Raw genomic sequence first — 15,832 nt, forward strand, 5'->3', positions numbered from 1 at the left:
ATAATAAATCTCTCTCTCTCTCTCTCTATATATATATATATATAGATTTTGAACAGTATAAAAGTGGCTCTGAGGTAGGTTGTATGATTGCCCCCAATGCTGCACTGGCCTCCTAGTGAGAGGATTACTCTTCTCCACCCTCATTGCCTTGAGCTGGGCCATGCATTTTGCTCTGGGCAATGATGTTTAGTGATGTATGCCACTGCTGAGCAGAACATGTAAAAGCCATCACAAGGTTCTGCCATTGCTTTCTGCCTTGAGGACGGCAGTGACTCAGATAGCATTTTTCCTACAGCCTGGGTCTTGGAATGAAGGAGACACTCAGAGCAAAACTGCAGCCAGCCAGACTGCTGCCGACTTGTCATGTGAGCAAGAAATAGACCCTTGGTATTTTCTGCACCACTAAGAAACTGGGGTCATTTGTTACCACAGCATAGTCTGGCAAAAGCTGACTGATGGAGGACTCGAATAAGTGAGAGAAAATACCAATTTTGGAGAAGTCTCAAATATATGAAGATATCAATGTTCCTCACCTGAATCCTCAAATTTGATGCAATTGCTATCAAAACCTCAAAACCAGTTATGGAAGATGACAATGTGATTACAGAGTTCATTTGGAATTGTAAATGTGAATAGCTGAGAGCATTTTTAAATTGAAGAATAATGTGGCAGGTCCTGCTGTTCAAATACTAAAGCCTAGTTTATAATGCTACAATAATCTAAATAGCATAATATTAAAGAGAGAAATATAAAATAAATTAAGGAAACAGAACAAAGTCCAGAAACACATCTATGAATGTGTGGGAATTTTATATATGATAAAATAATATTTTATTGTGGTAAAATAGACATAACATAAAATTTACCCTTTTAACCATTTTTATGCCTACAATTCAGTGGCATTAACTACCTTCACAATGTTGTATAACCATCACCACTATCTATTTCCAGAACTTTTCATCACCCCAAACAGAAGCTATACCCATTAAACAAGAAGTTCCCATTCCTCCCTTCTTCCAGATAACCTCTGTTCCACTTTCTGTCTCTATGAATTTTCCTTAAAATAGCATTTAAATAATTAACTGCTTAACACGTAGTGATGAAGCAACTGCATATTCACACGGGGAAAATCAAGTTAGATTCCTTTCTCATACATAAACAAAAGTTAATTCAAATTGCAGTTAATTTTTATGTTAGTAAAACCAAAAAATATTTTCATAATCTTGTAATAGAAGCCTCCAAAATAAAAATGAGAAACCTAGCAGCCGTATTGATAAATATGACAATTTAAAAGCTGCAGTGCTGGGTTTGGTGGCTCACGTCTGTAATCCCAGCACTTTGGGAGGCCAAGGTGGGTGGATTACCTGAGGTCAGGAGTTTGAGACCAGCCTGGCCAGCATGGTGAAACCCGTCTTTACTAAAAATACAAAACTTAGCTGGGCATGGTGGTGGGCACCTATAATCCCAGCTACTTGGGAGACTGAGGCAGGAGAATTGCTTGAACCCGGGAGGCAGAGGTTGTTGCAGTGAGCTGAGATCATGCCATTGCACTCCAGCCTTGGTGACAAGAGCAAAACTCCATCTCAAAAAAAAAAAAAAAAAAAAAAAGCTGCAGTACCACAAATGTCATTATAAACAAAGAAGTAACAATCAAGGAGAAAAATTCTATAATATAGTTAACAGATACGGGATCAACACCCAATATAGATCAAGATTCCTTACAGATACACAAGAAAATGAGAACTTAATTATGAGAAATTGGGAAAGGATATGAGTAGAGAATTTGCAGAAAATGTTTAAGTAAATATATGAAAAGAGGGCATACCTTACTAAAAATCTGGAAAATACAAACTAAAATAGCAAGATACTCCTAATTCAACACACTACCCAAAACTGATCACTGGAGAGTATGATGATGCAGTATTCTCATACATTTTGACGGGACAGTATTATTAGAATCACTTTTTTTAGAATGACAATTAAACAGCAATTAAGTTTGAAATGCACTGGTCAATCTATTCAATCACTTTACCTCAAGAAGTCTAACACAGATTATCACAGAATTATTTGTTCTTGGGACCCAAAATAAGGAGGAATGTCTAAGTGTATGAAGTTGTAAACAACCTAAAGAAATACCCTTCGATAAGAAAATAGTTAAATACAACCTGGGAAACATAGTGAGACCTTGTCTCTACAATAAATAAGTAAATAAATAATTAATAAAAATAAAAATAATTAGCTGGGCACAGTGGTATGTGCCTCTAGAGTCCTAGCTACTCAGGAGGCTGAGGTGGGAAGATTGCTTGAGCCCAAGATTTTGAGGCTGCAGTGAGCAATAATCATACTACTGCACTCCAGCCTGGGTGACAGAGCAAGACCCTGTCTCTAAAACAAAATAAGAACAACAACAAAAAATATTAAATTTAAAAAAATAGTTAAATTATGGTATCTCCATATTTTGAAATATAATACAGTTGTTAAAAAAAGAATGTGGCAGATCTATTTGAACTAATATGGAGAAATTATGCTATATAGTCACAAAATAACAAAATAAGTCCTTGAAAAAATGTACACATATATATGTTTCTGTAAAAAAAATCTGGGTGTATATTTGTGTTTGTATGTTTTTATAACTCAGAAAATTATCTAAAAGGATAAAGAATAAACTGATAAGAAGAATAGGGGTAGAAAAGAATGGTAAGGAAAATTTTTAGTATATACTTCTGTACAGTTTTAATTATATAAGTAGTGTCTACTCTTTTTATAATTTTCAAAATAAAAGAAGTAAAATATAGACAGACAGGAAAGAGACCTTACCTGTTCTGGGCTCATGTATCGCAAAGTTCCCTTACTCCTTGTTCGCTTTCCATCATTTTTCAGAGATGTTACAAGTCCAAAGTCTCCAATCTTTACTTGTTTTGTATCTACTAAGAATATATTACTTGGCTATGAAAAAAAAAAATTTAACTTACATGTACCAACTTAACATACTATTACCACATGTCTTAATTATATACAGAAAAGACTATTTTTATATTATTTATAAGACCTTTACCCTTACACAGGTAGCCAAAATCAGGGAATTTAATATGACTCGTCTTTAAAATGCCAGCTGAAAGAAGTCAGGATTTCTTTTTTTTTTTTTTTCTTTTGGGCCGGAGTCTCGCTCTGTCACCCAAGCTGGAGTGCAGTGGTGCTATCTCGGTTCACTGCAAGCTCCGCCTCCTGGGTTCATGCCATTCTCCTGCCTCAGCCTCCCGAGTAGCTGGGACTACAGGCACCCGCCACCATGCCCGGCTAGTTTTTTTTTTTTTTTTTTTTTTTTTTTTTAGTAGAGACAGGGTTTCACCGTGTTAGCCAGGATGGTCTCGATCTCCTGACCTCATGATCCACCCACCTTGGCCTCCCAAAGTGCTGGGATTACAGGCATGAGCCACCACGCCTGGACAGAAGTAAGGATTTCTTAGCTGACACCAGAGGTGGCTCTGGGCACAGCTGCCCTCGAATATCTGAAAAGCTGTCACGTGCAAGGTGGATTCACTCTGCATGGTCCAAGGGAAAAGATCCAGGACTATAGGGTGGAAATGACCTAAAGATTAGCTTTAAAATATCCTAATATCCTAATAGTGTTGTCCAAAGAATGGGAGTTAGACAGTTCCCCATCCCAAGATAGGGCTGAACAACCACTTGAGGAAATGTTGCAAATATGAGTCCATGATCTGATAGGGACTGAAGCAGACATCCTTAAGATCCCTTCCAACTTTGAGATTCTCGGAATGGGTCCATTCCCAACAATAGTGCAGATTAGCCTGTGCAGAATTTCTCTTGGGGGTCTTTTCTCCAAGCCTCTGACAACTTCTTAACAAACACATCCCTTCCACCATGAAAGCATACCAAGTTAACTGGAAGCTAATAACTAGCTCTGAAATATTTTTATCCATGCAATTCTTTAAGCAGATTTTTTTTTTTTAAGGGAGGTGTTTTGTTTTGTTTTGTTTTGTAAGATGGAGCCTCGCTCTGTCACCCAGGATGGAGTGTAGTGGCATGATCTCGGCTCACCACAACCTCTGCTTCCTGGGTTCAAGCAATTCTCCTGCCTCAGCCTCCCGAGGAGCTGGGATTACAGGCATGTGCCACAACGCTTGGCTAATTTTTTTGTATTTTTAGTAGAGACAGATTTTCACCATGTTGGCCAGATTGGTCTCAAACTCCTGACCTCAAGCAATCTGCTCACCTCAGCCTCCCAAAGTGCTGAGGTTACAGGCATGAGCCACCACGCCCAGCCCATAGGAGGTATTGACCAATATTATTTTTGTTTGTTTTTGAGACAGTGTCTCATTTTGTTATCCAGGATGGATTTCAGTGGCATGATCATGGCTCACTGCAGCCTTGACTTCCTCAGCTCAAGCGATCCTCCCACCTCAGCCTCCCAAGTAGCTGGGACCACAGGCCACCACACCCAGCTCTACTGACCAATATTCTAAAGACCACAAAAACAGGAAGGTAGTTGATGAGAAAATTAATATTTTGCTATTTTTGAAAAGGCTGGACTTTTAATACAATCTTAGGCTAAACACACAGACTCTACGGGATAACACACTTATGAGAGGGCCTACCTAGTAAGGACCTAAGAGGGAAGAGACCATAAGCCCAGGGAAGGCTGAAGGAGGAGCTTCCGAGAAGCCAGCTTGAGATGACGGCTCATACAGCAATTAGCAGTTGGATTAGAATTCAATTAACAGTCAGATTGGAGCCTAACACCAGTAATACAGATGGAAAGCTGTAGACAGATGTGGAGTGGATGTGGAGAGAAAACATTCCTATGCTATGTTCAAGTTGCAATGTGTAGGAATATGTCAGGATTGCAAGTGAAACTGCTAGTCCCACATAAGGCTATCACCTGACTCTAAGAAACAGAAAATTGAATTTGTGAAGCCGTGTAAATATCTAAGCTGGATGAGGCTATCTAGTGAAAATATCAGATCACTTTTTGTAGTTCATTCAAAAGAAAAAGTGGGCAGGGCGTGGTGAGTCACACCTGTAATCCCAGCACTTTGGGAGGCTGAAGCGGGCAGACAGCGTGGGCCCATCAGTCCAAGGCCAACCTTGCCAACATGGTGAAACCCTGTCTCTACTAAAAATACAAAAAATTATCTGGGCATCATGGCAGGCGCCTGTAATCCCAGATACTCGAGAGGCTGACGCAGGAGAATCTCGTGAACCCAGGAGTCAGAGGCTGCAGTGAGCCGAGATCACTCCACTGCACTCCAGCCTGGGCAACAGAGGAGACTCTGTCTCAAAAAAAAAAAAAAAAGAAAAAAGAAAAAAAGAAAAGAAAAAGAAGCTGGGTATGGTGGCTCATGCCTGTAATCCCAACACTTTGGGAAGCCAAGGTCGGCAGATCACTTGAGCTCAGGAGTTCGAGACCAACCAGGGCAACATGGCAAAATCCTGTCTCCACAAAATGTCAAAAATTAGCCTGCCTTGGTAGCCTGCACCTGTAGTCCCAGCTATGTGGGGGGCCGAGGTGGGAGGATTGCTTGAGCCTAGGAGGTCCAGGCTGCAGTGAGCTGAGATCATACAACTGCACTCCAGCCTGGGCAACAGAGTGAGACCTTGTAAAACACAAAAGAAATAAAAACAATAATGCCACATTTTGTCTAATCAGTTATAATATGATTAGACAAAATATAGGGCTGTAGATCATATAAAAGGGATGCAAACTTCACCTAGGAGGCACAGGAACAGGACTGATGCTCAGGCTGAGGATGACCAGAGCCTGGGCTTTAGGAGACTGAACATTTTAGAGAGAAGCAGCCTTGCACAAGAAGCCCTCACTCCAGAAACCCCTATGTCCCTTCCCAGCGCCTTTGGTCTAGTTCCTAAGATTCCAACAGAAAGTGGTAAACACTTGGAGACTTTTGTAAGAGGGGCTGTGTTAGGTAAAGACCATTCTCTGGCAAAACCACCTACAGCTGCTATTTTGCAAAACACAACCCCAAAATTGTACACCTTCATTGTATCTTTTCTTAGAGGAGAGAAATCAACAACTGTAGTAGTGAGAGCCTGAAAAGTTATAGAAGATGAAAGAAGTCTCAGTATCAAAGCTTGAGGCCGGGTGCAGTGGAGCACACCTGGAATGCCAGCACTTTGGGAGGCTGAGGCAGGAGGATCACTTTGAGTCTAAAAGTTTGAGACCAGCCTCGGAAACATGGTGAGACCCTGTCTCTACAAAAAAAAAACACACAAAAATGGCCAGGTGTGGTGGTGTACACCTGTGGTCCCAGCTATACGGGAGGCTGAGGTGGGAGGACTGCTTGAGCCCAGGAGGTCAAGGCTGTAATGAGCCGTGATTGTGCCACTGCACTCCAGCCTGGGCAAAAGAGCAAGACCTTGTCTCAAAAAAAAATAAAAATTAAAAATTTAAGAAGAATAATAAAGTCTGACCCTTGAGCAACTGCAGCCAGAGTAAAAATTCTCTGCAAATAGACACAAGAAAAGATCAGTCCATGACACAGGGCACACACGGTGTGGGGCATAGTTGGCAGGTAAGTGGGTAGGCACCAGTCAGAATTTTGCTAATTCATTCTGAGGACTAGGAGCTTAATGCCTACACTTCTGCATTTATTTGCAAATTATTTTATATAGAAATAATTGTGCTTATTTGTTATTTAACTATATGTATGATTTATCCCAAAGTGAAAGCATAACCAACTCTACATTTATCCTTTTGAAATAGTTCTGACAATGTTCCACCTTCAAAGAACAACTTCAGATATTGTAGAAGAGACATATTGGAACCAGACAGACTCAAAACACCAATGCATCAGACATCCAGCCCCTGGGCAGACCACGGAAGCAATACCTTTTAAGGGCTACTCATTCCTCTCTGAGCCCAATAAACAACTGTGTATATGGGAACTTATTTCTCTCAAGGAATTTTTTTGTTTCATTCCTTATTCCTTGCTGTTTTAGAGGGGTGGGATAAGCAGATAGCCACATAAATAAGGTACTTCTGCCTAGAACAGAAAAAGGCAGTTCCAGAGTGATCAGGAAAGGCTCAGTAAAGGAATTACAACCAAAGGGGGCAGGCAGAAGAGTGTCCCATGAGAGAGAAGAACATGAGCAAAGGTCCAGGGACAGGATTCAGGACGGCCAGCTTGTGACAGGCTTAGGCAAGTCACAGGGAATAGGGAATGGAGGAAAGGCTGTGAAGGGCTATTCTGTCTCTCACCTTCTGTCATTTTAATGAGAAGTAAAAAATAGGGAAACTCCTTGTCCGGACCATAAAAGCCAGAGGAAAATGAAAATACTAAGGGATGATACACTTTCCCAGTCCGGGATTACCGCAATTTTCCAATCATGGGGTTGAAATGCTTAACCAAGACAGTATTAGACTCTGGACCCAGTAGCTGTGACAGCCCTCGCGAGTAATGACTGAGAGATTAGGGAACCATATTCCTAAAGCAACAGTCAACAGAGTCCCCTCTGCCTCTCAAATAAAGCTGAGTCACTTAGAGGAGGCAGGAGGAACAGGGGCAGAGCAGCCAGTTGGCTGTGCCAGTCACAGTAATTATTTGCATGGAAATGTTCAGATACCATTTTCTCATAACTATCAATCAACCACTATTCTAAAACTAGAGAAAAAAATATATATCTATCTATCTTATTTTATATATATATATAATTTTTTTTTTTGAGACAAGTCTCACTCTTCACCTAGGCTGGAGTGCAGTGGCACAATCTTGGCTCACTGCAACCTCCACCTCCCAGGTTCAAGCGAATCTCCTGCCTCAGCCTCCCGAGTAGCTGGGATTACAGGCGCACGCCACCATGCCCAGCTAATTTTTGTATTTTTAGTAGAGACACGGTTTCACCATGTTGGCCAGACTGGTTTCGAACTCATGACCTCAGATGATCTGCCTGCCTCAGCCTCCCAAAGTGTTGAGATTATAGGCGTGAGCCACTGTGCCCAGCTGAGAAGATATATTTTAAAATTACTATATTATATATATATCAATTAATAAAGTACATTTTCCACTTACCTTAAGATCTCTATGAATTAATTTTTTTGAATGTATATAATCCACCCCTTTTGTTATTTGTTCAAAGAGTTCCAAAGCCAAAACTTTGTCTAGTTTCTCGCCTCTTCTTTTTTCAATCCATTGTTCCAAGGTCCCTTTATCACAGAATTCCATTTGGATGAAAAGGCACTTAGTCTTTGACCTGGGTATAAAATTCACAGTATGTTAAAAGTAACAATAAATATAAATTTATAAAAAATTTTTTATAACTTTTTAAAGTTTTTCATAACTTTTTAAAAGCTTATACCTTATCTTCTTAAGAACCCCAAAAACACTTTGGGAGGCCGAGGCGGGCGGATCACGAGGTCAGGAGATCGAGACCACGGTGAAACCCCGTCTCTACTAAAAATACAAAAAATTAGCCAGGCGTGGTGGCGGGCGCCTGTAGTCCCAGCTACTCCGGGGAGGCTGAGGCAAGAGAATGGCGTGAACCCGGTAGGCGGAGCTTGCAGTGAGCCGAGATCACGCCACTGCACTCCAGCCTGGGTGACAGAGCGAGATTCCGTCTCACAAAAAAAAAAAAAAAAAGAAAAAAAAAGAACCCCAAAACATGTCACAAAATAGAAATCTAAATATAATAAACAAATTTGAATCAAAATATAATAGGCCATTTTTTATTTCAATCATAAGTTCCCGGATGTCCAGAGCTTTATTTGTTTAGCTAATTTATAAAATATGAGCTGGGCTGGGCACGGTGGCTCACGCCTATAATCCTAGCACCTTGGGAGGCCGAGACTGGCGGATTGCTTGAGCTCAGGAGTTTGAGACCAGCCTGGGCAGCATGGCGAAACCCCATCTCTACTAAAAACACAAAAATTAGCTGGGTGTGGTGGCGCGGCACCTGTAGTCTCAGCTACTCGGGAGGATGAGGCACGAGAATCATTTGAACCCAGAAGGCAGAGATTGCAGTAAGCTGAGATCACGCCATTGTGCTCCCGCATGAGCGATAGAGTAAGACTCTGTCTCAAAAAAAAAAAAAGAAGAGGCCGGGCGCGGTGGCTCACGCATGTAATCCCAGCACTTTGGGAGGCCGAGGCGGGTGGATCACGAGGTCAGGAGATCAAGACCATCCTGGCTAACACGGTGAAATCCCGTCTCTACTAAAAATACAAAAAATTAGCCGGGCGTGGTGGCGGGCGCCTGTAGTCCCAGCTACTCAGGAGACTGAGGCAGGAGAATACTGTGAATCCGGGAGGCAGAGCTTGCAGTGAGCCAAGATTGCACCACTGCACTCCAGCCTGTGCGACAGTGCGAGACACCGTCTCAAAAAAAAAAAAAAAAAAAAAAACGAGAAGAAAAAAAAAATGAGCCACCCATTCTTCATTGCTGAAGATCTGCAATCACCATTGCTAACAGATAGAAATAGGAACATGAATACAATGCAGGAAACTAAATTTCATTATTATATAAAGTAACTTTGAAACCTTTTAATTCACCATTGATCTACTAAGCATGAAAGGCACCTAGAGATGAGAAAATCAGTTAGACACTATATCCTTGCCGTCACGGGGATAATAGTCTAATAGGAGAGAGTAAAGGGAAAGCAAACCTAAAACAATAGGGAAGGTACTCTAAGAGAAGTGCCAACAAATTACTAAGATACATAAATTGGAGGCTTGATTTTTTTTTTTTTTTTTTTTGCTAACCACGTTTTATTTTTTTTCTGAATTAAGTTAGCCTCAATATTCATTTATATTCTTTGTATATATGTCAGCTTGAAAACAGGAAGAGGTAGCCAAGAATTTGCTGAAAGCTGAAGTCCTGTATGCTGACGGTCAATAACTCCTGAACTGATGATAATGTTCTCACTTACACGACATGGAGATGGAGGTGGGGCAGGAGAAAATGAATGAATGGGACCCCATTGGCCTCAGGATTTTAGTGAGAGGACTGTCCCCATAATAGGTTGGGTGACTTTCAAAGACAGATGCCAGCTCTTTAGGATCTCCAGTTGTTTGGCAATGGCTTAACTGACATAAAACATGAGGGTGCCCCCATCTCAGCTTGTGGTCTTAAAAATATTTTCACTCCCCACCACCCCAGCATAAGTGGTATAGTTACATTCCAAAGAGACCCTCTGACGGCACCACACCAATCACAGCCTAAGAGAGGGACAGAAAAGTGTTGGTAGCTGAGGAGGGAGCCCCCAGATGCAGCATCTATATGTTAAAACTCTCTTCACAAGACTACACTTAAACAGCCTGCGCTGAAGCCGGCACGTGAACAAGGCTCTCCATGAAACAATGGAGTCAGGAAAGCTGAACCTGAGATTTTGCAGACAGCTGAGGATGTAACAGAGGGTTGTGAGAGCAAGTCTGCAGCAAGAGGAGGAGCAAGGAAGAGATTTTCACTTTCTCCTTACCTTCGGAATGGAGAGATAACAGTGTCTCTCAGAGGGAATTGTGATAATTAATCGTGATGATTAATAGCCTTATCCAGTGGCCCATACATAGTAAATAACAATTTCCTTCCATCCTATTATGGCTATGAGAATTTATTTTTAGTTACCTTGAACTATTTTTGCTGTTCTCAGGATCATAATCACTGCTCTCAAGAGAATCATCACTGGTCTCAGGATCATAATCAAATCCATCCCAACAGCCATTGTAGTGAACAATATTTACATGATCAAGTTTTGCCAATGCTTTTACTTCACGCTCCGCCTTCCTAGTTAAAAGGAACAGGGAACATGGCAGTGTCAGTGTACATCCCTCATAACAACCACAAAACACCTCATGTAATAGACAACTGTCTACATTCCCTTATTAAACCATTGCTGTGGTTCTCACATAGTTTTAGAATGGAAGCCAGGACATTCAAAAGGAAAAAGTGAACATACTGAAAAAAAACATAGCAGTTCTCACTCTCAAGATAAAATAAAAGGCAGTGGCCGGGCGCGGTGGCTCAGGCCTGTAATCCCAGCACTTTGGGAGGCGAAGGTGGGCGGATCACGAGGTCAGGAGTTCAAGACCAGCCTGACCAACATGGTGAAACCCCATCTCTACTAAAAATACAAAAAATTTAGCTGGGCACAGTGGCGCATGTCTGTAATCCCAGCTACTTGGGAGGCTGAGGCAGGAGAATCGCTTGAATCCAGGAGGCGGAGGTTGCAGTGAGCCAAGATTGCACCACTGCACTCCAGCCTGGGCAAAAGAGCAAGACTCTGTCTCAAAAAATAAATAAATAAAAGGCAGCGACTTAATGCCAAGCATCAGACAATTTAAAAATCATCTGTAGTACTCTTGAAATGCCAGTGATGTCATTTTAATTAATTTATTTATTTTATTGAGACAGAGTCTTGCTCTGTCACCCAGGTTGGAGTGCAGTGGCACAATCTTGGCTCATTGCAGCCTCAACCTTCTAGCCTCAAACAATTCTCCCACCTCAGTCTCCTGAGTAGCTGGGACCACAGGAGCACACCACCACACCCATCTAATTTTTTCTATTTTCTGTAGAGATGGGGTTTTGCCACGCTGCCCATGCTGGTCTCAAACTCCTGGGATCTAGCAATCCACCTGCCTCAGCCTCCCAAAGTGCTGGGATTGCAAGCATGAGCCAATGGACCCAGCCAGTGCAATTTTTCATAGCTAAATCATACATTATGTTTTGCTTAGATTTGTGTTAAAATCTTTGTATTTCACAAGCAAACCACATTTAGGCAGCAAGGCTAGGTAACCCAGGCAGTGTGAAGTACCTAATTCAGGATTTTCAATGTGTGGCAAATATACACAAAGAGGATAACTTATGCAGAGAAGGTGAAATGGTGGAAGGCTTTACAGGGATGTGTTGCCAAGACCTAAGAAAATTCCATGCTAAGTGCAGTAAATAAATTGGAGATTTCAAAGATGAGGAAGAATAATCATTTTACAATTTTATTTTTTAATGCAAGAAGTTTTAAAGTATATGACACAAATTTGCAAAAATAAAAAAAATTACTGATACTTTGACAATCCTAAAATAATGTTATTTTAGATTCTTCCTTTTTTTTTTGAGACAGGGTCTCACTCTGTCACCCAGGCTGGAGTGCAGTGGCAATGTTGGCTCACTGCAACCTCCACCCCTAGGGCTCAAGCGATCCTCCTACCTCAGCCTCCCTAGTAGCTAGGACCACAGGCACACACCACCACACTTGGCTAGTTTTTATATTTTTTGTAGAGACAGGGTTTCTCCATGTTGCCCAGGTTGGTCTCGCACTCCTGACCTCAAGTGATCCACCAGCCTTGGCCTCTCAAAGTGGTAGGATTACAGGCCTGAGCCACTGCACCCAGCCAGTCATTTTTTTTGAGAAGAGTCTTGCTTTGTCGCCCAGGCTGGAGTGCAATGGCGCGATCTTGGCTCACTGCAACCTCCGCCTCCTGGGTTCAAGCGATTCTCCTGCCTCAGCCTCCCAAGTAGCTGGGACTACAGGCGTACGCTGCCATGCCCAGCTAATTTTTGTATTTTTAGTAGAGACAGAGTTTCACCATGTTGGCCAGATGGCCTCAGTCTCTTGACCTCGTGATCTGCCTGTCTTGGCCTCCCAAAGTGCTGGGATTACAGGCGTGAGCCACCATGCCTGGCCCAGCCAGTCATTTTTAATGGCTGCAAAACAGCCATCGATCAGGGGACAGAACAAAATATATATACTCATTTCTTTACTGCTGGATATTTTGTTTGTTCTAACTTTTTACTGTTAATGAATGACACTGTGATTTATATCTTCTTGGATATAAATCCATAATTTGAATAACATTCTTTTTTTTTTTTTGGAGATAGGGTCTCACTCTGTCACCCAGGCTGTAGTGCAGTGGTGTGACCATGGCTCACTGCAGCCTCCACCTACTGGGCTCAAATGGTCCTCCCACCTCAGCTTCTGAAGTAGCTGAGACTACAGGCGTGGCTACCACACCGGCCTAATTACTGTATTTTTTGTAGAGGTGGAGTTTTGCCATGTTGCCCCAGGCTAGTCTCAAACTCCTGGGCTCAAGTGATCCACTCACCTCAGCCTCCCTAAATAGTATTCTTTTTATTATTTTTATTTTTATTTTTTTTTGAGAGGGAGTTTCGCTTTTGTTGCCCAGGCTGGAGTGCAATGGCATGATCTGGGCTCACCACAAGCTCCGCCTCCCGGGTTCAAGCAATTCTTCTGACTCAGCCTCTCGAGAAGCTGAGATTACAGGCATGCGCCATCACACCCAGCTAATTTTGTATTTTCAGTAGAGAGGGGTTTCTCCATGTTGGTGAGGCTGGTCTCGAACTCCTGACCTCAGGTGATCCGCCTGCCACGGCCTCCCAAAGTGCTGGGATTACAGGCGTGAGCCACCACACCCAGTCCCTAAATAATATTCTTAGAACTCATCCCCTAGAATGACAAATTACGGGGTAGGGCCTATTTGGCCTCCCCTTGAATCTAAGCTGGCTTCAGTGACTTGTTTAACCAATATAACTTGATGGTAGTGACGTTCTGGAACTCCTCAGATTAGGTCAAAAGAAGCCTTGCCACTCACTCCTGATCTTTTGGATGACTTGTTCTGGGGACAATCCTTCTTGAAACCCAGCCACCAAGTTGTAAGAAGCCCAATCCCCATAGGGAGGCCATGTGGAGGTATTCTGATTGACAGTCCCAGCTGAACTTCCAGCCCACAGCCGGTGTCAACTGCTAGCCAGCTTGGATATCCAGCCTAAGATAGGCTGTAGTCAAGGTTTCAGATGACTACTGACTGCAAATCCCTCTGAGACCCCAAGTGAGAATTGTCCAGATGAGCACAATCAACCCATGGAACCATTAGAGACAACAATAAATTGCTGTTTTTAAGCACTGCATTTTGGAGCAGTGCCTTATACAATAACAGACAACCAGAGAACAATTACCATCTAGCTTTTATCTTAGACAAAATCACTTCACATCTCTGGATCTTAGTTTCCTCATCTATAAAATAAGAAGGTAAGACTAGAACATCTCAAAGATCACCTATTTTGTGGGTAATGATAGGTTCTATCTGGTGCCACGGTTTTTAAAATACGGAGCATTTCATGAATTTGCATGTCACTTTAAAGCAAATGACTCTATAGCTTCAGTTCTGAAGATAGCACCAAAAGGATGATCAATGGTATATCCATTTTTATTGAAATAACCACAGTAAAGTGAGATCATCTCGGAGTAAGCCAAACTCCTCTTGGTAGAATGAAATGTTTAATGAGGATCAGAAAGAAATAAATGATACCCTAATAAAGAAGAGAGAAGCATAAAAAAGAATAGTGCAGATTCAGCGTACCTTGCCATTCAAAAAAATGTAAACATTTACTACTTACTCGTTATTATATTTAACACGTTTAATAACGTAAGTCTTTCCGTCAATTCTGTGTTTTGCTTTGAAAACTTGGCCAAATCCACCTGAGCCAATTAATTCTATTTCTTTAAAATCCATGCCAAACCTTAAAGATAAAAACCACTGTTATTTTGACATTTCATGCTCAACCCCCACCCCCCCGCCTCCCCACTCCTTTCCCTTTAATGTCACTTGTGAAATGGACAATAAAACAAATTTGATTCTCTCCTTCTGAATAAGAAAGATCCACTTGGCAGAAACTCTTGACTCACAAAGAGTAGTCCTCTCACTCCTCCCAGGGCAAGTCTAACGTAACATATCACCCCAGGCAGTCACAGTCAACTCCTGGCTTTTCAAAAGTCATGATAAGTCCAGGTGCCATGGCTCATGCCCGTAATACCAGCACTTCAGGAGGCCAAGGCAGGTGGATCACCTGAAGTCAGGAGTTCAAGACCAGCCTGGCCAACATGGTGAAACCCCGTCTCTACTAAAAATACAAAAATTAGCCAGGTGTGGTGGCGAGTGCCTGTAATCCCAGCTACTTGGAAGGCTGAGGCAGGAGAATTGCTTGAATCTGGGAGGCAGAGGTTGCAGTGAGCCAAGATCACACCACTGCACTCCAGCCTGGGCGACAAGAATGAAACTCCATCTCAAAAAAACAGAAAAAAAAAAAAAAAAAAAAAAAAAAAAAAAAAGCCATGATAAAAATCCTATCACAAATACAAAATGTTCAAAGGAACTGCTATATTGTGCTCCACAGCTACTATCATCAAGCTTTTATAAGAGAAATGGGCATACGCTCTAAGCCTGCCTAGGTTTCTACTTGGTTTTCTCTTCTCCCTCAAGCTTCGTGTTCCATCATTAAGACCTGTCAATTCTACCTCCAAAACACATTGCTGGTATCCACCCGCTTTCCTCTGCCTCCAACATCTTCACCCCAGTCCATGCTTCCATTAGGCCATAGCAGTACCTCGTTAACTGGATCCCCACTTCCTCTCTTCCCCCACTCCAATCTATGATCCATGCAGCAACCAGAGGGATGAAAACTGAGTCTGGCCATGTCTCTCTGTTGCTGAAACCCTCCAACAGCCAACCTTTGCATTCCACAAAAACAAAAAGCCCTTAAATGGCCTATAAGGTGCCAAATGAGGAGGCCCCTGCCTCCCTCAGCATCCTCATCTCATGGCACTGTGCCCCTCCTCATTGCACTCAAAGCACACACTCTTCTGTCTGTTCTCGAACTTTCACATCACCTTTTCCATCTTTACCTTCTCATACGCCCTTCCTTCCACCTAGCACCCACTGCTCTGTGCCCACTCATCCATCAGGCCTCCCCACAACTGTGACCCCAGAGAAACCTCGCCTCACCCCTGCTTCCATTTCTCTCCATGCCATTGCTTTCCTTTCACAGCTCTGACCATAGTTTGTTCCTGCAATTTT

General features: G+C 42.2%; 1 protein-coding gene across 6 annotated transcripts in view; it reads right to left on the reverse strand.

Annotated features, from left to right (window-relative positions):
• The window catches only part of EIF2AK2 (eukaryotic translation initiation factor 2 alpha kinase 2), a 57,771-nt gene that overhangs the window by 12,704 nt on the left and 29,235 nt on the right, over positions 1-15,832 (reverse strand). For 3 of the 6 annotated variants that reach the window (XM_011532987.3, NM_001135651.3, NM_002759.4), the window contains exons 11-14: positions 14,376-14,498; positions 10,593-10,751; positions 8,046-8,226; positions 2,818-2,946 (exon numbers count right to left, since the gene is read on the reverse strand). In XM_011532987.3, coding sequence (XP_011531289.1) covers positions 2,818-2,946; positions 8,046-8,226; positions 10,593-10,751; positions 14,376-14,498 — 592 coding nt within the window. The remainder of the gene's footprint in view (positions 1-2,817; positions 2,947-8,045; positions 8,227-10,592; positions 10,752-14,375; positions 14,499-15,832) is intronic. The other 3 variants (XM_047445116.1, XM_047445115.1, NM_001135652.2) reach the window with 2 other exon arrangements.

This window comes from Homo sapiens, chromosome 2, assembly GCF_000001405.40.
Source record: "Homo sapiens chromosome 2, GRCh38.p14 Primary Assembly".
In the NCBI taxonomy this organism is placed as follows: Eukaryota; Metazoa; Chordata; class Mammalia; order Primates; family Hominidae; genus Homo; species Homo sapiens.